The sequence below is a fragment of the Homo sapiens genome, chromosome 8 (genome assembly GCF_000001405.40).
Source record: "Homo sapiens chromosome 8, GRCh38.p14 Primary Assembly".
Classification (NCBI taxonomy): domain Eukaryota; kingdom Metazoa; phylum Chordata; class Mammalia; order Primates; family Hominidae; genus Homo; species Homo sapiens.
In genome coordinates, this window is record NC_000008.11 from 38,529,379 (window position 1) to 38,554,334 (window position 24,956).

At 43.7% G+C, this 24,956-nt stretch overlaps 1 long non-coding RNA gene across 1 annotated transcript, besides 7 other annotated features; it reads right to left on the bottom strand.

Annotated features, from left to right (window-relative positions):
- Positions 36-857: an enhancer, noted in NCBI's record as "OCT4-H3K27ac hESC enhancer chr8:38386932-38387753 (GRCh37/hg19 assembly coordinates)". NCBI's record gives its function as "activates a minimal SCP1, AML or CMV promoter by ChIP-STARR-seq in primed H9 embryonic stem cells {active_cell/tissue: H9 hESC(primed)}" and the evidence as "EXISTENCE:reporter gene assay evidence [ECO:0000049][PMID:30033119]".
- Positions 858-1,678: an enhancer, noted in NCBI's record as "OCT4-NANOG-H3K27ac hESC enhancer chr8:38387754-38388574 (GRCh37/hg19 assembly coordinates)". NCBI's record gives its function as "activates a minimal SCP1, AML or CMV promoter by ChIP-STARR-seq in naive H9 embryonic stem cells {active_cell/tissue: H9 hESC(naive)}" and the evidence as "EXISTENCE:reporter gene assay evidence [ECO:0000049][PMID:30033119]".
- Positions 1,679-2,499: an enhancer, noted in NCBI's record as "OCT4-NANOG-H3K27ac-H3K4me1 hESC enhancer chr8:38388575-38389395 (GRCh37/hg19 assembly coordinates)". NCBI's record gives its function as "activates a minimal SCP1, AML or CMV promoter by ChIP-STARR-seq in naive and primed H9 embryonic stem cells {active_cell/tissue: H9 hESC(naive and primed)}" and the evidence as "EXISTENCE:reporter gene assay evidence [ECO:0000049][PMID:30033119]".
- Positions 1,833-2,127: a silencer, noted in NCBI's record as "tiled region #511; HepG2 Repressive non-DNase unmatched - State 23:Low, and K562 Repressive non-DNase unmatched - State 22:ReprW". NCBI's record gives its function as "represses a minimal TATA promoter and a strong SV40 promoter by Sharpr-MPRA in HepG2 and K562 cells {active_cell/tissue: HepG2 | K562}" and the evidence as "EXISTENCE:reporter gene assay evidence [ECO:0000049][PMID:27701403]".
- Positions 2,500-3,319: an enhancer, noted in NCBI's record as "H3K27ac-H3K4me1 hESC enhancer chr8:38389396-38390215 (GRCh37/hg19 assembly coordinates)". NCBI's record gives its function as "activates a minimal SCP1, AML or CMV promoter by ChIP-STARR-seq in naive H9 embryonic stem cells {active_cell/tissue: H9 hESC(naive)}" and the evidence as "EXISTENCE:reporter gene assay evidence [ECO:0000049][PMID:30033119]".
- On the bottom strand, positions 14,127-24,370 carry LOC124901935 (uncharacterized). Its single transcript, XR_007060890.1, has 2 exons — positions 22,077-24,370; positions 14,127-14,468 (listed from the first exon to the last, which is right to left on the bottom strand). It is a non-coding gene; the product is annotated as an uncharacterized LOC124901935 (long non-coding RNA).
- Positions 20,204-20,263: an enhancer, noted in NCBI's record as "active region_27253". NCBI's record gives its function as "activates an Ori minimal core promoter by ATAC-STARR-seq in GM12878 lymphoblastoid cells {active_cell/tissue: GM12878}" and the evidence as "EXISTENCE:reporter gene assay evidence [ECO:0000049][PMID:35858748]".
- Positions 22,887-23,388: an enhancer, noted in NCBI's record as "H3K4me1 hESC enhancer chr8:38409783-38410284 (GRCh37/hg19 assembly coordinates)". NCBI's record gives its function as "activates a minimal SCP1, AML or CMV promoter by ChIP-STARR-seq in primed H9 embryonic stem cells {active_cell/tissue: H9 hESC(primed)}" and the evidence as "EXISTENCE:reporter gene assay evidence [ECO:0000049][PMID:30033119]".

Here is a 24,956-nt window from a genome sequence, read left to right on the forward strand (position 1 = left end):
AGTGAGAATTTGAACAGCAGCGAGGAGATGGTGGAGGGGCTGCCCACAGAATGTCCTGAGGGTCTTTGAGGGAGACCTGTAGATTCCCCTCCTGAATATGGGGTAAAGTCCTTGCTGGAATCCCAAGGCTGGATCAGGACCTCCTTTGACTCCGGCACCAGAGGCCCAGACAAGGACTTGCTAGGCCCCTGCTCTGGACCCAGCTGTCATTAAGCTGAGTGTTTTCCTGGAGAGAGGAGAAGGGGTCCTTCCATGTGGATTTTCCCTAAGTATAGATGCTGGCCCAGCAATGCCAAGAACTGAGACACCCTGTGCCTAGCTCTTGGCTGGCTGCTTATAGCTTGAAATGCCCTTTTCAACTCTGAAACTTTTAGAGTCTGGCAATCCTTGAGAGCGTTTTTTTCCTCCTGCTTGGGTGAGAGCTTTATCTTTGACCTCATTCTATCCATCTGAAGAACTAGAATCCAGAGGGAATGACCTTGCTTTGGCAGACCCGAGTCTTCGTCTCTCTGCCTCAAGTCCTTGCCCTGTGAATATCCTCAGCTCTCCCTGCAACTTCAAATCTGGAAAAGGCGCCAGGTGCAGTGGCTCACGCCTGTAATCTCAGCACTTTGGGAGGCTGAGGATGGTGGATCACCTGAGGTCAGGAGTTCGAGACCAGCCTGACCAACAGTGAAACCCCTGTCTCTACTAAAAATACAAAAATTAGCCCAGCGTGGTGGCGCGTGCCTGTAATCCCAGCTACTCAGGAAGCTGAGGCAGTAGAATCATTTGAACCCAGGAGGCAGAGGTGCAGTGAGCCAAGATCGCACCATGCACTTCAGCCTGGGCAACAGAGCGAGACTCTGTCTCAAAAAAAAAAAAAAAAAAAAATCTGGAAAAGGCTTCTTCAGCAAACAGACTTATAAAAATTTCCAGTTAGCCCTTTCCTTACAATTGGTCTGCTGTTTTTGGATTTAAGGTTACTTTGCCAATGTGTCTGGCCTTAACTGTCAGTTAAATATTTAACACACATAGCATGTACTATGCATCAGACACGGTTCTAAGCATTTTTCTACAATATTAATTAATTTTTACAAAACCTTTTATGGGGTAGGCATTCTTATCCCCATTTTGCTGCATAGGACTCCAAGGACAGAGGTTAAATAACATGCCTAAAGTGGGGCAGATTAGCCTACAGTGGCGGGCGTGGAATTCAACCCAGGCCACCTGCCTGGGGAAATTAGCCTGTGACCCCAGCTTTCTTCTGCCCACTGGTGGGTGGTGATTCCAACAGCAACATATGCTTCTGATGGTTTTCTGGAGAGCAGCAGGAATTCCTGATCAACTGGCAAGAAGGAGAAATGAAGCAAAGCCAGAGCTGTGCCCGATACCTTTGTTCAGGCTCAGGTCCACTCCAGCACACGTGCCTGTGTTCTCATCCCCCAGGTTGGTCTCTTCCTTGGCTCCTCCAACAGCCACATCTACAAGAGAATAGAGCCACTCTTTCTCTAACTGTCCTCTCCCTTCTTCCCTCTCTGGGGGAGTCCTGTGGAGCCATTGTTCTCCCAACCTCAGCTATTGGGCCTTTCTTGGCAAGGACCTAGTGGCGTCTCTTATTTACCCATTAACAATTAAGCTCCAGGCATTTGACATATAAACACAGAAAACATCAGCATCATTACAGCAAAGATTTCAAAAGCCCTTTGGCAGGGAAGGGCTTGAATATTTACTTAACAAAAGAATTCCTTACTCCGGTTTTAAGAAAGAATTCACAATAGGATTTAACAAGCCAGTTTCTCCAGTAAATTAAAAACATTCTTTTATTCATTCAGAATATGATTTGTGTTTTTAAAAATGTGTCTCACATACAACTTTTCAAGAGAACACTCGCGGCGTTTTCCCTGAGAACTCTGTTCCCACATTATCTTCCAGTGTTTCTCATTTGTTGAGATGGTCCTGCACTAAGCAGAGAGAGATAATAGCTGCGGAGTGGGGGGTGTGCCTTAGGATCTAAGATTCCACCCTTAGCGATTCTTTCTTTTGTTTCAAGAGTGACTTCTACAGAAGGGTTTCTTTTATTATACAAGAAGAGTGTTGCGAAGTATATCTTCCATGACTAGAGGTACTTAAGCCAGTCTATTAGAGTACTGGGCCCTTGGGAAGAGGAAGGAGGAAGGGGAGAAAGAACACAGGTAGGTTTATTGGGGGAAAGAAGGGATATTCACCTGTTCATTTGTTTGTTTGTTAGTAATGACTCATATTCCTACCATTGCCAGACATTTGGAATACAAAGGTAAATAAGAAAATAGTATAGTCAAGGACCAGGTGCAGCAGCTCACACCTGTAATCCCAGCACTTTGGGAGGCTGAGGGGGGTGGATTACCTGAGGTCAGGAGTTTGAGACCAGCCTGACAAACATGGTGAAACCTCATTTCTACTAAAAATACAAAAAAATCAGCTGGGTGTGGCAGGTGCCTGTAATCCCAGCTACTTGGGAGGCTGAGGTAGGAGAATCGCTTAACCCGGGAGACGGAGGTTGTAGTGAGCCGAGATCACACCACTGCACTCCAGCCTGGATGACAGAGTGAGACTCCGTATCAAAAAAAAAAAAAAAAAAAAAAAAAAAAAGGAAAGAAAGAAAGCTACCCACTAAGCAAGGTAAAAACTCAGGATGGGGTGCCCAATTAGACACGGGGACAGTGTTGGGGAAGCCACCACAGAGTGGACAGCAGAGTTTCGGTGCAGTAAGTAGTTCATGCCTGCAATCCCAGCACTGTGGGAGGCTGAGGTGGGAGGATTGTTTGAGGCCATAAGTTCCAGACCATCCTGGGCAACATAGTGAGACTCCTTTCTACAAAAAATTAAAAAACTAGCTGGGTGTGGTGGCAGGCTTCTGTAGTCCCAGCTACTCAGAAGCTGAGGTGGGAGGATTGCTTGAGCCCAGGAGGTCCAGGCTGCAGTGAGCTATGATTGTGCCACTCCACTCCAGCCTGGGTGACAGAGGGAGACCATATCTCAAAAAATAAATAAATAAATAAATAAGAAAGAAAAGAAAAGAAAAAAATTAATTAAGAAAAATTCCTAAAACTTGTATTTGCTATGTGCCCAGCATTATATAATACTAAGCATCTTGCATTTTAACTCATATAATCTTCATAAAAATATAAGGAAAGTGCTGTTGCTATCCTTATTTTACAGAAAAGCAAACAGGCTCAGAGAAGTTAGGTAATTTGCTAAAGCCCACAGATAATGAGCAGTAGAAATGGGAGAAAAACTCAGGCTTTCCAGCTCCAGAGCTCATGGTTAGTGCTCTTAACCACTATGATATATTTTTGTATACAGAGGCAATGATTATTTTGACTATGAAATGTTAAAAATGCCAAGAAAAATGCAAAGAATAACATCATGAAGGTCCATGAATCCACCATTCATCTCTACTAAATTCCAGTATTTTGCCTTGCTTACTTCATTTTTCTTAAAAAGAAAAGAAGTTACAGATACGATGGAAATCCCCTTGTGTACTGCACCCTGAGACAACGACTGAATTCGGGTTTCTCTTTTCCAGGCATGTATTTATATTATTAAAGCATTTGTAGATGTCTAACAATATGTAACAGTGTTTTACATGTTTTCAAATTTGTATAACTAGTGTCATTTTTACAGGTTGCTTTTACATTTAACATTATATTTTTGAGATTTTATCTTTGTTAATTCCACATAATTTTAAGTTCATTTATTTGAAATACCATGTCAGGCTGGGTGCAGCAGCTCGCGCCTGTAATCCCAGCATTTTGGGAGTCTGAGGCAGGTGGATCACTTGAAGCCAGGAGTTAGAGACCAGCCTGGCCAACATGAGGAAACCCTGTCTCTACTAAAAATACAAAACTTAGCCGGGTGTGGTGGCAGGTGCCTGTAATCCCAGCTACTCAGGTGGCTGAGAATCTTTTGAACCTGGGAGACGGAGGTTGTAATGAGCTGAGATCGCACCACTGCACTCCAGCTTGGGTGACAGAGTGAGGTTGTCTCAAAAATAAATAAAATAAAATATCATATCATATCATAAAATATTATATTATATGTCTTTAAAATACTACCATATAGTATTCCATTGTATGAATAATATACGATGTTTGAATTTCCTAGTTTTTGAAAATATTTTGCTATTACAGACAATGCTGCAATGAACTTTCTTGAGCACATCCTTTTTTGTGCTTTTAGGAGAATTTCTTTTTTTTTTTTTGAGACAGGGTCTTGCTCTGTTGCCCAGGCTTGGGTGCAGTGTCATGATCGTAGCTCACTGCAGCCTCAAACTTTTGGGCTCAAGCGATCCACCTACCTCAAGCTCCCAAGTAGGTGGGACTACAGGCACACACCACCACTTCTGCCTATTTTTGTTATTAATATTTTTTGTAGAGATGGGGTCTTACTGTGTTGCCCAGGCTGGTCTCAACGTATCCTCCTGCCTTGGCCTCCCAGAGCTCTGGGATGACAAGTATGAGCCACGATGCCTGGCCTCCTAAGAGAAGTTTTAGAAGGGGCATTGCTGGGGTGAAGGGCAGGCCCATTTTCAGCTTCATCTCATTAAATTCCACTCCAAAGGGGTTGACCAGTTGTACTTCTACCAGCAGCATGTGAAAGTCTTGTTAATCTACATCTTCCCAAGACTTGCTGTTGTTAATGTTTGTGTCTGAAATAATTTCTTATTGTTATTTTAATTGCATTTCCTGGTTACTAGGACAGTTGAATATTGTTACAATTTTTGTTTGTTTCTTCTGAAAATGTCCTATTTACTTGCGTCCACTTGATTGATTTGGCCTTTTCTTAATTGATTTTATAAATTTTAAAAATTAACAGTAAAATTGACTTTTTAAAGGAGGGGATATGTATAGCTCTGAGTTTTGTTTTGTTTTGTTTCATTTTGTTTTTGAGATGGAGTTTCGCTCTTGTCGCCCAGGCTGGAGTGCACAATCTCGTCTCACTGCAATTTCTGCCTCCCGGGTTCAAGGGATCCTCCTGCCTCAGACTCCTGATTAGCTGGGATTACAGGCGCATGACCCCAAGTCCGGCTAATTTTTGTATTTTTAGGAGAGAAAAGGTTTCACCATGTTGGCCAGGCTGGTCTTGAGCTCCTGACTTCAGGCAGTCCACCTGCTTCAGCCTCCCAAAGTGCTGGGATTACAGGTGTGAACCACCTCGCCCAGCCTAGTTCTGAGTTTTAGCACATCTAGATTCATGTCACCACTGTAGCAAGTAGGATGCAGAACAATTCTATTACCCCAAGAAATGATCAGAATATTTTAACCGTTCATTAAAATGAATTCAATTTTTTGGCTTTATCGCTTTCAAGAAATTGGTTCATTTTATGTAAGTCATCAAATTTGTATCTGTGTAGAGTGTTTGTAGTATTCTCTTATTATTCTTTAAATGTCTGTGGTGTCTGTAGTGATATCTTCTCTTTTGTTCCAGATACAGGTAATATGTTTCCCTTTCCCCACTTTTTTGGTTCATCTGGCTAGAGGATTATCAATTTTATGGATGTTTTCAAAGAAGTAGCTGTGGTTTTATTGATGTTCTTCATTGTTTTTGTTTTTAATTTTATTGGTTTCACTCTTATTTTTATTCTTTCCTTCTGATTGTTTTGAGTTTATATTGGTTTTGTTTTTCTAGCTTCTCAATGTGGAAACTTATAATATTGATTTAAGATTTTTTCTTTTAAGATAAGCATTTAATAATATGTATTTTCCTCTATGCACTGCCTTAGCTGCATCCCACAAATTTTATATTGTATTTTTCATTCACTTCAAAGTATTTTCTAATTCCCCTTGAAACTTTCTTTTTGACATATAGATTATTATGTTGTTTAATTTCCAAGTGTTTGGGATTTTTCAGTTATCTTTTCATTATTGATTGCTAATTTAATTTTATTATGATCTGAGAACATACTTTGTATGATTTCAAGGCTATTGCACTTAGTAAGGTTTGTTTTATGACCTTGGATATAATCTATCATAGTGAATGTACAATGTGCATTTCAGAAGAATGTATATTCTGTTCTTGTTGGGTGGGCGTAGTGTTCTGTAAATGTCAATTGAATCCAGTTGGTAGATGAAATAGTTCAACTCTTTATATTTACTGATTTTATGTTGGCTTGTCCTATCTGTTACTAAGAAAGGAATGTTGAAATCTCTAACTATAGTTGTGGACTTGTCCAGTTCTTTCAATTCTAACAGGTTTTGCTGTGTGTATTTTGAAGCTCTTTTGTTAGGTGCATACACATCTAAAATTGTTATGTCTTCTTGGGGAATGGACTTTGTTTTTTTTGGAGACAGAGTCTCACTCTGTCACCCAGGCTGGAGTTCAGTGGCATGATCTCAGCTCACTGCAACCTCCGCCCCCTGGGTTCAAGCAATTCTCCTGACTCAGTCTCCCAAGTAGCTGGGATTACAGGTGCCTGCCACCACACCTGGCTAATTTTTGTATTTTTAGTAGAGATGGGGTTTCGCCATGTTGGCCAGGCTGGTCTCAAACTCCTGACCTCAGGTCACCCACCTGCATAGGCCTCCCAAAGTGCTGGGATTACAGGTGTGAGCCACCACACCTGGCTGACTCTTTTATTTTTTATTTTTATTTTATTTATTTATTTATTTGAGACAGAGTCCCACTCTGTTGCCCAGGCTGGAGTGCAGTGGTGCTATCTCAGCTCACTGCAACCTCTGCTTCTTGGGTTCAAGCAATTCTTCTGCCTCAGCCTCCTGAGTAGCTAGGATTACCTGCACACACCACTTCGCCTTGCTAATTTTTGTATTTTTAGTAGAGACAGGGTTTCACCATGTTGGCCAGACTGGTCTTGAACTCCTGACCTCAAGTGATCCACCCATCTTGGCCTCCCAAAGTGCTGGGATTACAGGTGTGAGCCACTGGGCCCCACTGGGCTGACTCTTTTATTATTATGTATTGCCTCTCTTTATCTCTGGAAATTATCTTTGCTCTGAAGTCTCTTTTGTCTAATATTAATATAGGCACTTCGACTTTCTTTTGATTAGCGCTTGCATGGTATATCTTTTCCCATTGTTTTATTTTTAACCTACTTGTATTATAAAATTGTAGATGGTAAATAGTTGGGTCTGTTTTTGTTTGCTTTAAAATCCACTCTGGGCCAGGTGCAGTGGCTCGTACCTGTAATCCCAGCACTTTGGGAGGCCAAGGTGGGTGGATCACTTGAGGTCGGGAGTTCGAGACCAACCTGACCAATGTGGAGAAACCCCGTCTCTACTAAAAATACAAGAATTAGCTGGGCGTGGTGGTGCATCCTGTAATCCCAGCTACTCGGGAGGCTGAGGCAGGAGAATCACTTGAACCTGGGAGGCGGAAGTTGTGGTGAGCAGAGATTGCGTCATTGCACTCCAGCCTGGGTAACAAGAGCAAAACTCTGTCTCAAAAAAAAAAAAAAAATCCAATCTGATAATCTCTTTTGGATCACTTTATTTCATGTAAATATCAATATGTTTGAAATTAGGTCTCCCTTTTTAGTATTTGGTTTCTGTTTGTTCTGTTTTTAAAATTCCTGTTTCCTCTTTCTTGCCTTCTTTTGGATTATTTGATTTTTTTTTTTTTTTGTATTTCATTTTAATTTATCTTTTTTTTTTTTTCTCCTTTGAGACAAGGTCTTACTCCCATTGCCCAGGCTGGAGTGCAGTGGCATGATCAAAGCTCACCACAGCCTCCACTTCCCAGGCTAAGGTGATTCACCCCCCTCAGCCTACTGAGCAGCTGGGACTACAGGCCCACACCACTACACTTGGCTAATGTTTAGTTTTTTTTTTTTTTTTTTTTTTTTTTGAGACAGAATCTTGCTCTGTTGCCCAGGCTGGAGTGCAGTGGCATGATCTCAGCTCACTGCAAGCTCCGCCTCCCGGGTTCATGCCATTCTCCTGCCTCAGCCTTACAAGTAGCTGGGACTACAGGCGCCCGCCACCACGCCCGGCCAATTTTTGTATTTTTATTAGAGACGGGGTTTCACCATTTTAGCTAGGATGGTCTCAATCTCCTGACCTCGTGATCCTCCTGCCTCAGCCTCCCAAAGTGCTGGGATTACAGGCGTAAGCCACCGCACCCGGCCAATAGTATTAGAGATGGGGTTTCACCATGTTGCCCAGGCTGGTCTGGAATTCCTGGGCTCAAACTACCCACCCGCCTTGGCCTACCAAAGTCCTGGGATTACAGGTATGAGCCACCGCACCTGGCTATCTGTTGAGTTTTAACCACATCTTCCATTGTATAGTTTAACTTTTTTTTTGGCTGGGTGGTGGTGGCTCACACCTGTAATCCCAGCATTTTGGGAGGCCAAGGCGGGTGGATCGCTTGAGGCCAGGAGTTTGAGACCAGCCTGGCCAACATAGCAAAACCCTGTCTCTACTAAAAAATACAAAAATTAGCCAGGCCTGGTAGCACGCGCCTGTAGTCCCAGCTACTCAGGAGGCTGAGGCATGAGAATCTCTTGAACTCAGGAGGCAGAGGTTTCGGTGAGCTGAGATCATGCCACTGCACTCCAGCCTGGGCAACAGAGTGAGACTCTGTCTCAAAAAAAAATTTTTTTTAAATAGATTGTTCTATAATATTATGATATATATACCTAATATTTCATAGTCTACTTAGAATTCATATTTTACCACTCCATGTGGAATGTAGGAACCTTACCACCACGTGGGTTTCTTTACCCTCCCCCTTTCTGCTTGTAGTTGTTAACTATATTATATTTACATACATCAAAAACTCTTTAAACCATGAGATAATTTTTTTTTTTTTTTTGAGACAGGCTCTTGCTCTGTCATCCAGGCTGGAGTGCAGTGGTGCAGTCATGACTCACTGCAGCCTCTACCTTTGAGGCTAAAGTGATCCTCCCATCTCAGCCTCCCAAGTAGCTGAGATTAACAGGTATGCACCACCAAACCCAGCTAATTAAAACAATTTTATTTTTGTAGAGACGGTCTCTCCATGTTGCCCAGGCTTGTCTCAAACTCCTAGGCTCAAGTGATTCTCAGCCTCCCAAAGTGCTGGGAATATAGGTGTGAGCCACCGCGCCTGGCCATGATATAATTTTTAAAATTTTATTTTTAATTATTACAGGTACATAGTAGTTGTATATATTTATGGAGTACTTTTTTTGTAGAGATAGGGTCTTGCTCTGTTGCCCAGGCTGAAGTGCAGTGGCACGATCACAACTCACTGCAGCCTTAAACTTCTGGGCTTCATTGATCCTCCTGCCTCAGCCTTCCAAGTACCTGGGACAATAGGCTCATGTTATCACACCAGGCTGGCTAATTTTTAACATTTTTTGTAGAGACACTGTGTCACTATGTTGTCCAGGCTGGTCTTGAACTCCTGGCCTCAGGTGATCCCCCTGCCTTGGCCTCCTAAGGTGCTGGGATTACAGGCATGAGCCACTGTGCCCAGCCTACATGTAACGTTTTCATACAGGCATACAATGTATAATGATCAAATCAGGGTAAATGGGGTATCCATCCTCTCAAGACTTTTTCATTCTTTTTGTTAGAAACTCCAATTTCACTCTTTTAGTTATTTAAGAATATACAATAAATTGTTAACTAGAGTCACCCCATTGCCCTATTGTGCTACCAAATACTTGATCTTATTCATTCTCTCCAACTGTATTTTTGTACCCATTAACCATCTCTGCTTTATCTCCCACTTCCCATTATCCTTTCATCCTCTATCTCCATTCACTCAGGTTTTTTGTTTTTTTTTTAACTTCTTATATATGAGAACATGTGGTATTTGTCTTTCTGTGCCTGGCTTATTTCACTTAACATGTTGTCTTCCAGTTTCATCCATGTTGTTGAAAATGACAAGATTTCTTCTTTTTTGGAGAAAGAGTCTTGCTCTGTCTCCCAGGCTGTAGTGCAGTGGCGCAATCTCTGCTCACTGCTACCTCCGCCTCCTGGGTCACGTGATTCTCCTGCCTCAGCCTCCTGAGTAGCTGGGATTACAGGAACCTGCCGCCACGCCTGGCTAATTTTTGTATTTTTAGTAGAGATGGGGTTTCACCATCTTGGCCAGGCTGGTGTTGAACTCCTGACCTCATGATCCACCCACCTCGGCCTCCCAAAGTGCTGGGATTGCAGGCATGGGCCACCACGCCTGGCCTAAGATTTCATTTTTTATTGCTAAATAATATTCAATTGTATATTTGTGCCACATTTTCTTTCTCTGTTGCCCAGGTTGGAGTGCTGTGGCATGATGTTGGTTTACTGCAACCTCTGCCTCCCAGGTTCAAGTGATTCTCTTGCCTTAGCCTCCTGAGTAGCTGGGATTACAGGCATGTGTCACCACACCCAGCTAATTTTTGTATTTTTAGTAGAGATGGGGTTTCACCATATTGGCCAGGCTGGTCTCAAACTCCTGACCTCAAGTGATCCTCCTTAACCTCCCAAAGTGCTGGGATTACAGGCATGAGCCACCATGCCCAGCCCACATTTTCTTTATCTATTTATCTGTTGATGGACATTTAATTTGCTTCCATATCTTGGCTATTGTGAGTAGTGCTGCAATAACCATGGGAATGCAGATATCTCTTCCATATACTGACTTCATGTCTTTTGGATAGATGCTCAGCAATAAGATTGCTGAATCATATGGTAGTTCTACTTTCAGTTTTTTGAGGAGCCTCCATACTATTCTCCAGGGTGGCTGTACTAGTTTATATTTCTACCAACAGTGTAGGAGGGTTCCCCTTTCTCCATGTCCTTGCCAGCATTCATTATTGCCTGTCTTTTGGATAAAAGCCATTTTAACTGGGGTGAGATGATATCTTACTGTAGTTCTGATTTGCATTTCTCTGATGATTAGTGATGTTGAGCATTTTTTCTTATGCCTGTTGGTCATACATTTGAGAAGTGTCTATTCATATCTTTAGCTCATTCTAAAATTGGATTGTTTTTCTCCAGTGGAGTTGTTTGAGCTCCTTATATAGTCTGGTTATTAATTCTTTTTCAGATGGGTAGTTCGCAAATATTTTCTCTCATTCTGTGGGTTGTTTCTTCACTTAGTTTCCTTTTCTCTTCATTGTTTCCTTTGCTGTGCAGAAACTTTAGCTTGATGTGATCCCACTTGTCCATTTTTGCTTTGGTTGCCTGTGCTTTTAAGGTCTCATGATGTAATTTTTCTTTCAATTGTCATACGCAGGGGCAGAGGGAAAGCTTCCCTTTTGTTCTCTCTAAAGATTTGCTAAAGGCTGTGCGCGGTGGCTCACGCCTGAAATCCTAGCTCCTAGCACTTTGGGAGGCTGAGGTGGGTGGATTACCTGAGCTCAGGAGTTAGAGACCAGCCTGAGCAACACGCGGAAACCCTGTCTCTACTAAAATACAAAAAATTAGCTGAGTGTGGCGGCATGCACCTGTAATCCCAGCTACTCAGGAGGCTGAGACAGGAGGATTGCTTGAACCTGGGAGGCAGAGGTTGCAGTGAGCCAGGATTGCCCAACTGCATTCCAGCCTGGGTGACAGAGCGAGACTCCATCTCAAAAAAAAAAAAAAAAAAAAAAAAAAAAGATTTGCTAAAATGACTGACAATACACAGATTAATAGGAGAAAAAGGCATATAAATTTATTAACATACAAAAACATGGGTACAATATTAAATATGAGACCCAAAGGGCCAGATGATTGAGGCTTATATATCTGCTTCATAGGGAAGAGGGAGATGGGGAAAATGCAGGGGTTGTTAATGATTTTTAGGGGAAATGAATGGGCCCAGGAGGCTCAGACATTATCTTGTAAATGATTCTCCTAGGAAACTAAACGACGCCAGCAAGTTACCGGAAGGTGAGGGGTGAAACTTAACCTGGTAGATAAAGCCTCCCAGGTTATCTCTTGGCACTGCCTCAGAGGACTAGATGAAGAGTCATCTGACTTTAGTCTCCATTCTTCTCTGGTGGTTAATCTTTTCTGATTATTTGATGAGATTCCTAGGAAGGGGATCTTAAGACAATTGCATTTCTTTTGGAAAGAAGTTTCCTTAGTCAGATAAGGAAATTCTAGGGGAAGTCTCTAGGGGGATAGAGACTCCAGAAGTCTCTAGAAGTCTCTAGGCGATAGAAACAGATGAGGCCAGAAAGGCCTTATTCTGAGGTAGCTTCTAAGTCCTTTCTATTTTAGTTCAAAGTGTTCAGCATACCAAAGCGCCATACTTTTGAGGTGTTGTTTTCTGAGCCCCAACATATACATATTATAAAGAATTTAAGATAAAAATAGTCTATTATATTTAACCAGATTTTTACCATTTTTGTTTCTCTGTCTTCATTCTTGATGTTCTAAATTTCTTTCAGGTATCCTCTTTCTTCCGTTTGAAGAACTTTCTTTAGTATTTATTTTACAACAAGTCTACTAATGACAAATTCTCTTGATTTTTCACTTGAGAACGCCTTTATTTCCCTCTCATTCTTGAAGAATATTTTCATTGGATATAGAATTCTTTTACAAAATTGTCACATAATATAAAATTCACCATTTTAACAATTTTAAAGTGTACAGTTCAGTGGTTTTTGGTATTTTCATAATGTTGTGCAACCATCACTATTATCTAATTCTAGAAGATTTCATCACCTGAAAACTCTGTACCCATGAAGCAGTCATTCCTGATATCCCCCCCGTCCCTAGCCCCAGCAACCCCTCAGCTGCTCTTCATTTCTATGGATTTGTTTATCCTGGATATTTCATTAAATGGAATAATACAATGTGTTGCCTTTTTTTCTCTGGCTTCTTTCACTTAGCATGTTCTTTTCTTTTCTTTTCTTTTTTTTTTTTTGGGAGAGAGTCTCACTCTGTCACCCAGGCTGGAGTGCAGTGGTGCAATCTCGCGTCACTGCAACCTCAACCTCCTGGGTTCAAGCAATTCTTCTGCCTCAGCATCCTGAGTAGCTGGGACTACAGGTATACATCGCCACGCCCAACTAATTTTTTTGTATTTTAGTAGAGACGGGGTTTCACCGTGTTGCCCAGGCTGGTCTCGAACTCCTGAGCTCAGGCAATCCGCCCACCTTGGCCTCCCAAAGTGCTAGGATTACAGGCGTGAGCCACTGCACCCGGCCAGGATGTTCCCCTCCCCTCCCCTTCCCTCCCCCTTCCCCTCCCCTCCCCTCCCCCTCTCCATTCCCCTCCCCTCCCCTCCCCTTCTCTCCTCTCCTGTCTTCTTTCTCTTTTCTGTTTTTTCTTTTCTTTCTGAGACAGGGTCTGCTCTGTCACCCAGGCTAGAGTGCAGTAGCGCGATCTCAGCTCTCTGCAGCCTCGACCTCCCAGGCTCAAGTGACCCGCCCACCTCGGCCTCTTAACATGCCGGGATTACGGACTAGAGCCACCCCACCCAGCCACTTAGCATGTTTTAAAAGTTCGTCAATTTTGGCATTTATCAGCATTTCATTTTTTATGATTGAATAATAGTCCATTGTAGAAATACACCATATTTTGTTTATCCATTCATCAGCTGATGGACATTTGAGTAGTTTCTTCCTTTTGGCTATTATAAATAATGCTGCTATGAGCAATCCTGTACAAGTTTTTGTTTGAACACCTGTTTTCAATTCTCTTGGTTGTATACCTGGGGTTGAATTGCTAGGTCATATTACGTTTAAATTTTCAAACATCCTATGTTTAACTTTTTGAGGAACTGCCAAACTGTTTTCTTTTTTCTTTTTTTTTTTTTTTTTGAGACAGAGTCTCGCTCTGTCACCCAGGCTGGAGTGCAGTGGCACGATCTCAGCTCACTGTAAGCTCTGCCTCCCGGGTTCACGCCATTCTCCTGCCTCAGCCTCCCAAGTAGCTGGGACTACAGGCGCCCGCCACCACTCCCAGCTAATATTTTTTTTTTGTATTTTTTAGTAGAAACGGGGTTTCACCGTATTAGCCAGGATGATCTCGATCTCCTGACCTCGTGATCTGCCTGCCTCGGCCTCCCAAAGTGCTGGGATTACAGGCGTGAGCCACCGCGCCCGGCCTAATAGATTTTCTTATGTCAAACATTCCATTTTTGAATTCCAGAAATTAAACACAACTAGGTCATGGTATATATATCTTTCCTTGAATATGCTAGTATTTCATTTGGAAGCTCTGCATCTATGATCATAAATGATATTGCTCTACTGTATTTTTTATTCTGTGCTTAGGAGGTTTTGATATTATAGTTAAGATCCTAATGAAGTGAGTTGAGTAGCTGTATTTCTTAGAGTAAAAGCTAAGCTCCTATAACAACAACAATAACAACAACAAAAACCCCAAATATGGTTGTTTAAATAAGATGGAAGTGTACTTCTTGCTCATAGTCTAGAAATGAATGGTGCAGGCTGGTGGGGCAATTCTGCTTGGTGTAGTCATTTGGAGACCTGAGGGTTTCCCATTTTGTTTCTCTGCCATCTCCTAAAGGTGTTTGTCTTCATCTACACGGCGATACAAGTTCAGCTCTGTATGTGTGCGGCCCTTAGGAAAGGGAGAATAGGAAAGAGGAGGGTGAGCAATTTCCTTTGAAACAAATGTTGTCCCCTTGATTCATATGTTCAAGTTTTAACTCCCAGTAACTCAGGATGTGACCTTATTTGAAAATAGGGTCATTACAGATATAATTAAAGTGATATTGGAGTAGGGTGGGCCTCTAATCCAATGTGACTGGTGTCCTTATAAAAAGAGGCAATTTGGGCCAGGCACAGTGGCTCATACCTGTAATCCCAGCACTTTGCCAGGCCAAGGAGGGAGGATCACTTGCAGCCAGAAGTTGGAGACCAGCCTGGGCAACAGAACAAGATCCCATCTTTACTAACAATAAAAATTAAAAAAAAAAATTAGCTGGGTGTGGTGGCACATGCCTGTAGGTCCCAGCTACTTGGGAGGCTGAGGTGGGAGAATCCCTTTAGCCTGGGAGGTTGAGGCTGCAGTGAACCATGATGGTACTACTGCACTCCAGCCTGGGTGACAGAGTGAGACCCCATCTCAAATTAAAAAAAAAAAAGAGGGGTGGGGGGATTTGGACACACCTGAGGGAGAACTCCATGTGAACATGAAGGCAGAGAGACACCAAGGAATGCCACAGATTGCCAGCGCACCACCTGAAGCTAGGACACAGGGTGGAACAGACTTCCCCTCACAATCATCAGAAGGAACCAACCCTACTGACAACTTGATCTTGGACTTACAGCCTCCAGAACTGTGAGGGAGTACATTTCTGTTGTTAATCCCCCAGTTTGTGACACTTTTTTACAGGAACCCTAGGAATCGCCATTTCTCCATAGCAAGTAATGGAGAAATGGCACCATTATTTGCTCATCATCAAAGGTGAGCATTTAGTCAGACACTCCTCAGTTGCAAGGAAGGTTGGAAGATGCAGGCCGTAACTGGGCTATTCTGTGCTCCACAGAAAATCTCACCAGAAGAAGAATTTAGGAGAACAAATGGCACAGGAACAGAAAACATTTTTTTTTTTTTTTTTTTGAGATGGAGTCTCGCTCTGTCGCCCAGGCTGGAGTGCAGTGGCGCAATCTCGGCTCATTGTAAGCTCCGCCTCCTGGGTTCACACCATTCTCTTGCCTCAGCCTCCCGAGTAGCTGGGACTACAGGCGCCCACCACCGCGCCCAGCTAATTTTTTTGTATTTTTAGTACAGACGGGGTTTCACCTTGGTCTTGATCTCCTGACCTCGTGATCCCCCCGCCTCTGCCTCCCAAAGTGCTGGGATTACAGGCGTGAGCCATTGCGCCCAGCCACATGTTTTTAAGAGTTTATTTGTGGCCGGGTGTTGTGGCTCACACCTGTAATCCCAGCACTTTGGGAAGCCAAGGCAGGTGGATCACCTGAGATCAGGAGTTTGAGACCAGTCTGACCAATATGATGAAGCCCCGTCTGTACTAAAAATACAAAAATTAGCTGGGCATGGTGGTGTGTGCCTGTAATCCCAGCTACTCAGGAGGCTGAGAAAGGAGAATGGCTTGAATTGGGGAGGTGGAGGTTGCAGTGAGCCAAGATTGCACCTCTGCACTCCAGCATGGGCGACAGAAGGAGACTCCATCTCAAAACAAACAAACAAACAAACAAATAGTTTATTTGTGCCTTAGTGGTTTAAGAAAATGAGTTTCTAAAACCATCTGGGACAGATATCATTTAGGGAAAGAGACTTTTTTTTTTTTGAGCGGGAGTCTTGCTCCGACTGGAGTACAGTGGCATGATCTTGGCTCACTGCAACCTCTGCCTCCCGGGTTCAAGTGATTCTCCTGTCTCAGCCTCCTGCATAGCTAGGATTACAGGTGCCCGCCACCATGCCCAGCTAATTTTTGTATTTTTAGTAGAGACAGGGTTTCACCATGTTGGCCAGGCTGGTCTGGAATTCCTGACCTCAGGTGATCCACCTGCCTTGGCCTCCCAGAGTGCTGGGATTACAGGTTTGAGCCACTGCACCCAGCATAGGGCAAGAGACTTTCGATTACTAGTTCAAAAATTTTGATGGTAATTGGTTTAGTTAGGCTTTCCATTTATTTTTGCATCATTTTAGCTATTTATGACTAGAAAATTATCCATTTTATCGGAAGTATTTAATACATAAAACTTTTCATAAAATTTTCAAATCTTCTGTGTAAGTGGAAACAGTAATTTTTTATTCCTGATATAGTTTGCTAATGCATCCTTTCCTTTTTTTTTTTTTTTTTTTTGAGATGGAGTCTTGCTCTGTTGCCCAGGCTGGAGTGCAATGGCGCTATCTCGGTTCATTGCAACTTCTGACCCCCGGGTTCAAGCGATTCTCCTGCCTCAGCCTCCTGAGTAGCTGGGACTACAGGCATGTGCCACCATGCCCAGCTAATTTTTGTATTTTTAGTAGAGGCGGGGTTTCACCATGTTGGCCAGGCTGTTCTCGAACTCTTGACCTCAGGTGATCTGCCCACCTCAGCCTCCCAAAGTACTGGGATTACAGGCATGACCATTATCCTTTCTATTGTTTGTTTTTTGTTTCATTAAGTTCTGATCTTATTTATTTTAGCTTTATCTTTATATGAAATCACACATACACATAAATTAAAGAGTTAAATTGGTCTATAAGACTTATTATGAAAAACAGCAGTCCCCTACTCCTTGCCTCACATTTCCCTTTCTTCAGAGGCAACCTTTTTCAGCTCATTGATTGATTGATTGAGATGGAGTTTTGCTATGTTGCCCAGGCTGGAGTGTAGTGGCTATTCACAGGCGTGATCATAGCTCCAGGCAGCCTAGAGCTCCTGGGCTCAAGTGATCCTCCCACCTCCTTTTTCAACTCTTTCAGCTAGTTTTTTTGGTGTTTACCTCTTTCTCTCTAAATAATATGCTTATATTCATTTTTCAACTATAGCTTTTACTTATGGTCTTCCCTCTATGGACAATAAAGCTTTGGCTCTCTTCCACCCCCTTCTCCACCACTACACATACACTATTTTGTCCCTTAATCCTTTCAATACTATAATTTTGATGAGATCAATATCAAATATTTATATTACTATGACTATTGTAACACTAGTCACAGCTGAGCCATATAGTATACTGTGATTATTTTTCCTTTTCTGCACAACCTTTTATTTTCCCTGGAGTTCATGATTGTCTTCCTTTTTCATTTGCTTCATTTTCTATATTCTTATTGCTAATTTAGTCCAAGTTATATAAACTTTTTTTTTTCTTTAATCACCCAGGCTGGAGTGTAGTGGCACGATTTTGGCTCACTGCAACCTCCGCCTCCCAGATTCAAGTGATTCTCCCATCTCAGCCTCCTGAGTAGCTGGGACTATAGGTGTGCACCACCACACCTGGCTAATTTTTGTATTTTTGGTAGAGATGGGGTTTCACCATGTCGCCCAGACTGGTCTTGAACTCCTGATCTCAGGTGATGTGCCCGCCTCAGCCTCTCAAAGTGCTGGGATTACAGGTGTGAGCCACCATGCCTGTCGATGTATAAACCTTCTTTCAGTGCATCCAAACATTAAGTAGTTTATCACTTGTTTTTCTTTTCTTTTCTTTTTTTTTTTTTTGAGACAGAGTCTCACTCTGTTGCCCAGGCTGGAGTGCAGTGGCATGGTCTCGGCTCACTGCAAACTCCGCCTCCTGGGTTCAAGTGATTCTCCTGCCTCAGCCTCCTGAGTAGCTGGGACTACAGGCGTGTGCCACCATGCCCAGCTAATTTTTGTATTTTTAGTAGAGACAGGGTTTCACCACGTTGGCCAGGCTGGTCTGGAACTCCTGACCTCAGGTGATCCACCCGCCTCCACCTCCCAAAGTGCTGGGATTACAGGCATGAGCCACCATGCCCGGCCAGTTTATCACTTTTATCTTCTTGAGGAAATCTTTCCTGGAGCATTCTGATCTGCTGCAATCTGGACTGGTTGCCTTCCACACTTATTCACAGCTCTTATCTTGGTGTCCCCTTTCATCATTGTCCCAGGGATTCCCTTCCTCTCTTTCCAGGTTTGGTTTTGTATTCCATAGCTTCCTCTTTTTGTTTTCTTATTTTTGGTAAAACACATCCTTCAGTCGCTTCCTGAGAGAAGGTACTAAGGAAATACTTCACAAAAATTATCTGTATATGTAAAAATATTTTTTCTCTATCTTTACATGTGATTGCAACTTTAAGTGTGAAATTTTATGTTAGAAATAATTTTTCCTTTAGAATTTAAAGGGCATTGCTTCATTACTTTCTAGATTCTATTTTTGCTTTTGAGTGGTCTGAATGAATTCTGATTCTTGATAACTGAGTATACAACTGTTTGTCCCCATCTCTGGATGCTTATAGGATCTTCTTTTTATCCCTAATGTTCTGAAATTTCATTATAATGTGCTTTGTCATGGATCCATTTTCATCCTTTGTGCTGTGCGCTAGGTGGGCTCTTTTGATTGACAAACATCTGTCCTTTTGTTCTGGGAACACTTTTTGAATTTTTTTTTTTTTTTTTTTTTTTTTTTTTGAGACAGAGTCTCCCTCTGTAGCCCAGGCTGGAGTGCAGTGGCACAATCTCGGCTCACTGCAAGCTCCACCTCCCGGGTTCACGCCATTCTCCTGCCTCAGCCTCCCGAGTAGCTGGGACTACAGGCGCCCGCCACCATGCCCGGCTAATTTTTTGTATTTTTAATAGAGACTGGGTTTCGCCGTGTTAGCCAGGATTGTCTCGATCTCCTGACCTTATGATCTCCCCACCTCGGCCTCCCAAAGTGCTGGGATTACAGGCATGAGCCACCATGCCCGGCCTTGAATTTTTTTTTTGCTGAATTCCTTCTCTCAGTTTTCCTCCAAGTTCTGTTTCTAGAACTCCTATTTGAATATTGGGCTTCCTGAACTTGTTCTCTAATACTGTGATCTTTTCTTCCTGTTTTACAACTCTTTATTTTTTGGGTCCATTTTATGTGGAAGGGTAGTATAGCTTCAAATACAGCCATTTGCTTTTATCAGTAAAGAACACAGAAACTACTCTAGGGCCAGGCACTGTGGCTCACGCCTGTAATCCCAGCACTTTGGGAGGCCGAGGCAGGTGGATCACGAGGTCAGGAGATTGAGACCATCCTGGCTAACACGGTGAAACCCCATCTCTACTAAAAATACAAAAAATTAGCCAGGCCTGGTGGCAGGCACCTGTAGTCCTAGCTACTCGGGAGGCTGAGACAGGAGAATGGTGTGAACGCAGGAGGCGGAGCTTGCAGTGAGCCAAGATCACGCCACTGCACTCCAGCCTGGGCGACAGAGCCAGACTCCGTCTCAAAAAAAAAAAAGAAAAAGAAAAAGAAAAAAGAAACTATTCTAGGTATTTCAAGCAGAAAGGGATCAAATATAGGGAATTGGGTGCTAACAAAAAGAAAATCAGGGGATGCATGTAACTTTCAGATTGACCACTGTAGCTATAGTCCAGAGAGTCTAGAAGTTGCTGTTATCATCTATTAATAGATGTCAGAGAACTGGAGGAAATCTCTGCTGGTATCACACTTATCCTGCATCCCTGGGGTCCATGGGTGGCAGGGGAATGGAGTCTAGCCAGACTCTACATAAACTATGTCTGACCGAGTCTAGACACCCACTGCCTCTGCTGGAGGAAGAAAATGACTCATCTCCAATCTCCCTTCCAAATCTCTGGTACAAAGTTTAGAAGAGGGTAGCAAGACGCTAATAGAAACAGAAACAAAAAATAAAAATAAATACACAAAGCTAGCTTCTCTACTGTCCTCTTCTAGATCTCTCTTAGGCTAGAGTCTCTTAATCTACTTATGTCTTGTCTTTCATATTTTTCCTTCTTTTCCTCTTTGTATTTCATTTTGGATAAATTTTTCCATACTATCCCCCATTTCATCATTTTTTCTCTGACTACACTCAGTCTAGAGTTTAACCTGAATATTGAGGCTTAAACAATTCAATGGCTATTTTTTGTGTCTAAGATTTCCAGTTTGTTCGTTTTCCTTGAGTTTTTTTTTTTTTTTTTTTGACAGAGTCTCACTCTGTCACCCAGGCTAGAGTGCAGTGGTGTGATCTCGGCTCACTGCAACCTCCACCTCCCAGGTTCAAGCAATTCTCCTGCCTCAGCCTCCTGAGTAGCTAGGATTACAGGCATGCGCCACCACGCCTGGCTAATTTTGTATTTTTAGAAGAGACAGTGTTTCACCATGTTAGCCAGGGTGGTCTCAAACTCCTGACCTCAGGTGATCCACCTGCCTTGGCCTCCCAAAGTGCTGGGATTACAGGCATGAGCCATCGTGCCCAGGCTTTTCCTAATCTTTTTTTTTTTTTTTTTTTTTTTTGAGACAGAGTTCACTCTTGTTGCCCAGGCTAGAGTGCAATGGCATGATCTCGGCTCACTGCAACCTCCACCTCCCAGGTTCAAGTGCTTCTCCTGCCTCAGCCTCCTGAGTAGCTGGGATTACAGGCATGTGCCACCATGCCTGGCTAATTTTGTATTTTTAGTAGAGACAGGGTTTCTCCATATTGGTCAGGCTGGTCTCGAACTCCCAACCTCAGGTGATCTGCCTGCCTTGGCCTCCCAAAGTGCTGGGATTACAGGTGTGAGCCACCGCGCCTGGCCTTCCTAATCTTTTTTATTCCCACTTCTTCTTGTTCCATTCCTATTTTCATCTAATATTTATTGCTTATTTTTAATATGTTTTTATGATTTCTTTGAGAAATGTAAATGTATATATACTTCAAAACCTATCCTCTATGAAACTGATAGATTTTAGTACTAGTCTATAAAATTGGTAGATTTTTATGACTTCTGCTCTATAAAACTGATGTCAACTGGAATGAATTAATGTTGTTTATTGATTTTACTGTCTTTCTTAGCATTAGACTTTTTCATTGTTAAAATGTGTTTTGGAATTTTGATTTGCAGATCCATTTCTAGTGGCAGTTTTCCCCCTTTGATTTGTTTTGTTTTTGTCTTTTTTTCTTCTCTTCCTGAATGCACAGTTTATAGTTTTGTGGTTGCCTCCACCCATTTTCCTAAGCCGCTGTTCCAGCGCCAGCTCTTACGTGTTATTTCATGGTTCCTTATTCTGTGCCAGAATGATGCCAATCCAGATGAGGAGCTGTGGGTGGCTTGGCATGGGTCCTCACTTTGAGGCTGTGCTCTATTTCCACCCCACTTTACCTCACCCTACCCTGGTCTCCAGCATCTAAAAGTAGGGTCTTCCTCTGGGCTTTCTCCCAGGACAAAGTTTTTCAAGTAAACATTTCTATTGAAATATAACAGATATACAGAAACGCACATGAATCGTAAAGGGGCACCTCAATGAGTTTTCACAAAGTGAATGCTCCTGTGTAATAAACCCCCAGAGCACAAAAAGAACATTCTTGGCCTCCAGAAGACCCCTGGTGTTCATCTTAGTCACTGCCCTTTCTAAGGTAACTGGGCTCCTGGCTTCTCTAAAACCCTTTGGGACTCAGAGCCCAGCAGCATGTCAGTCACAGCCCCATTTAGTGATTTTGGGCTCTGTTCTTGCTTCTGGTTCACAGAAAGCTTGCCTTGTTTTTCAGCCCAACTGTGTGTGTTGGGTTATATGCGAAAATGTTTTATTTACTGCTGGTTTGTGGTTGGAACAGAGAACTCACCGCTCCATCTTGACTGGAAGTCCAGCAGAACCTGTTTATGGGACAGTCACTAGTTCTGACCGGAGACCAGGGAAATGGTAGCAGATGCGCTGGGTTCAGCGGATGAAAAGCCTTTGTATGCTCACTAATAAATTCAGATGTTGTCCTCCAGTTAGTGAATGGATGATGAAAGACTGCATGCAGGAAAATGAGATGCTTTGGGATGTGTACATTTTAGAATTATTTCTCTGGCTAAACCAGGGAGGATGGAATGAAGGAGAGCCACACACAAACAGTTTTACCAGCTGGGAGGGAATTTCTGTAATTCGGGTGAGGCGTGCCCAGGGTCCATGAGGGCAGTGGTTGTGGGGGTGGCAAGATTATAAAAATGAATTTGCCGGGTGTAATGGCTCACACCTGTAGTCCCAGCACTTTGGGAGGCCAAGGTGGGTGGATCACCTCAGGTTGGGAATTCAAGACCAGCCTGACCAACATGGAGAAACCCCATCTCTACTAAAAATACAACATTAGCCAGGCGTAGTGGCGCATGCCTGTAATCCCAGCTACTCAGGAAAGCTGAGGCAGGAGAATGGCTTGAACCTGGGAGGCGGAGGTTGCAGGGAGCTGAGATCGTGCCATTGCACTTCAGCCTGGGCAACAAGAGTAAAAACTCTGTTTCAAAAAGAAAAAAGAATGAATTTGGGAGATAAATAGGAGGTGATTGATTGGACGGATGTCAAGGATGACTTTTAGTTTCTGAAAACTGGTAAAAGGTGGTGCAATTTATAGGACTTAAGGAATGCTGGGGATGGAGCAGGTTTCTGGGCATTTATTTCATTTGCCAGTTTTGTTAGTGGTTGGCTCTGCATGTCTTCTCCCAAGCTTCTGGTCCCATGACTCATCTGACAGATGGCGTTTGTTGAGTCCCTGCTGGTGAGGGCTGGAGCCTGGGGAGATAAGGATGTGGAGGGACATAACTAGGAGACAGGGCCACCTTCAGGCTGGGGCTCTTTGCAGTGGGCATTTATCAGCGTACAGGAAATGCCTGTGCTCAGATTTCCTGCCCACAAGGTGCGGGGGTGCGAGATGCATGTGAAGCTTGGGCCCCTTTGTGGAAATGAGGGAGAGGGAAGCAGAGAGTCAAGTGCATGAGAAGTAAATAGAGACCCTGAGAAAGAAAGGCAGACCTAGGGGAAAGGAACTCCAGTTTTTCCTTTCTTCTGGTTGGTCAGAGTTCAGTCCTTTGCCCCCACCCTAACACCTTCTGCTTCTAAAGGTCCTTCATTACTTGGGACCCAGCTTCCTACTGCAGCTCTTCCCCAACCACCTCTACAGAAGGGGTAGAGAATTCAGTGGCTCGATACAAATGTATCTTGGCATCTTGTAGTCAGGAGGACAAATTTTGCCTTCTCTGTGATCCTGCAGAAGGCATCCCAGGAGGTCTATGATGTTTCCGCCTTCTGATCCTTCTTTCTCTCCACGTACCCCTTAACCTCTTCCCATCATCAAGCCCTCTTTAGCTTGCCTGGGAGCCAGGCTGGGTGTTGCAATCCTCCTGGGCCAGGCTGTTAACTGAGTAGCAATCTGAGCAGGTTCTAGAAGCGCGTCCCTGGAGTCTAGGGTTTCCAAGGAGTCAGCTCAGAACCTAGAAGTTCACTCTATGGAGGGTCAAGGTACAGAAACCTGAGAATGAGGAATAAGCTGAAATCTATCACTGCATCTCCCTAGGCCTCAGAAACAGGTGGGTCCTGCTGCTGTGGTCTTCCTCACACTCATTCTTATTGCTGCTTATTTTAGGCAGAAACAATAGTAGGATGCTATGACCTGTGAAATCATAATCCAACCCTTACATTCCGTAGATGAGGCCCAGGGAGGTTAAACTGATTTTTCCACCTCAATCCAGGAACTTTCTACTTTGTTATTCCTTCCCCACCCCCACCCTTGGCTCCCAAAGGGCTTTAGGGTCAACTTAGTGAGCTCTAGGGTGCCATTGCCAATCCAGATATTGACGGTCGGCCCCATGGGCAGCGCAGGGTCCGAGTCTGGGGTTTGATCAGAGTCTTAAGTTCAGCGGGTCTCTCCCCTGCAGGCCCCTGCACCTGGGGTTGGGAGAATGAATAAGGACCTTGTCTGGTAGGAATTTCTTTCCTCTGCTGTTTGCTTTGGGTTTTTTCCCTCTCCATTCCTGGCGGCTAACCCAATATTTGGCTTTCTAAATTTCTAAATTTCTGTGAGCACTAAATATATTTCTTCATTTAACCCCGAGAATCATGGTTTCCTACCTGCTTCCCACGACCGGATCCACAGCCTGGAATGAAAACAGAACCCCGAGGGCATCGGCAGCTCAGGGCTGAGGGGGTGGTGGTTCCGGGGAGGGGGAGGAGCAGAGCCAGGGAGGGAGGGTGCACTCACCCACGCTGGGCATCTCAGACATCCTGAGAAAGCAGGAACAGAGGGAGGGGGGAGACGCTTTGGCTTCTCTCCCAACTCCCCGCAGCCGGGGCCCTGCTCCTCCCCTCCCTATCTAAAAGGGGGCCTGGTCCCCACCCACGGCGCCTCTGCACAGCCCCAACATCCCAGGTGCAGGCCGTGAGCTAGACCTGGGGCGTGGTGAAAGCAAGCAAAACCTGCGCCTGAAGCCCGCTCCGCCACACCTTGCCCCCTGCAGACCCTTCTAGCTGGGCCGCGGCCCTCTTGCACGGACTCTTAGAGGGCTCCTCCACCGCCCTGCGCTCCCCACTGTAAATAGTCAAGGCCGCGGTATAGCTGAGCTAAATTGTCCTGGTAAATTGAACGGGGCAGTGGAAAATTCCCCTCCGGAGCCTCCCGGGGAGGAGCTCTAAGCAGCTGCTACCGAACCCCAGGGCTTGTTAGGCACCTGCCTTTCAGGTTCTCCACCCA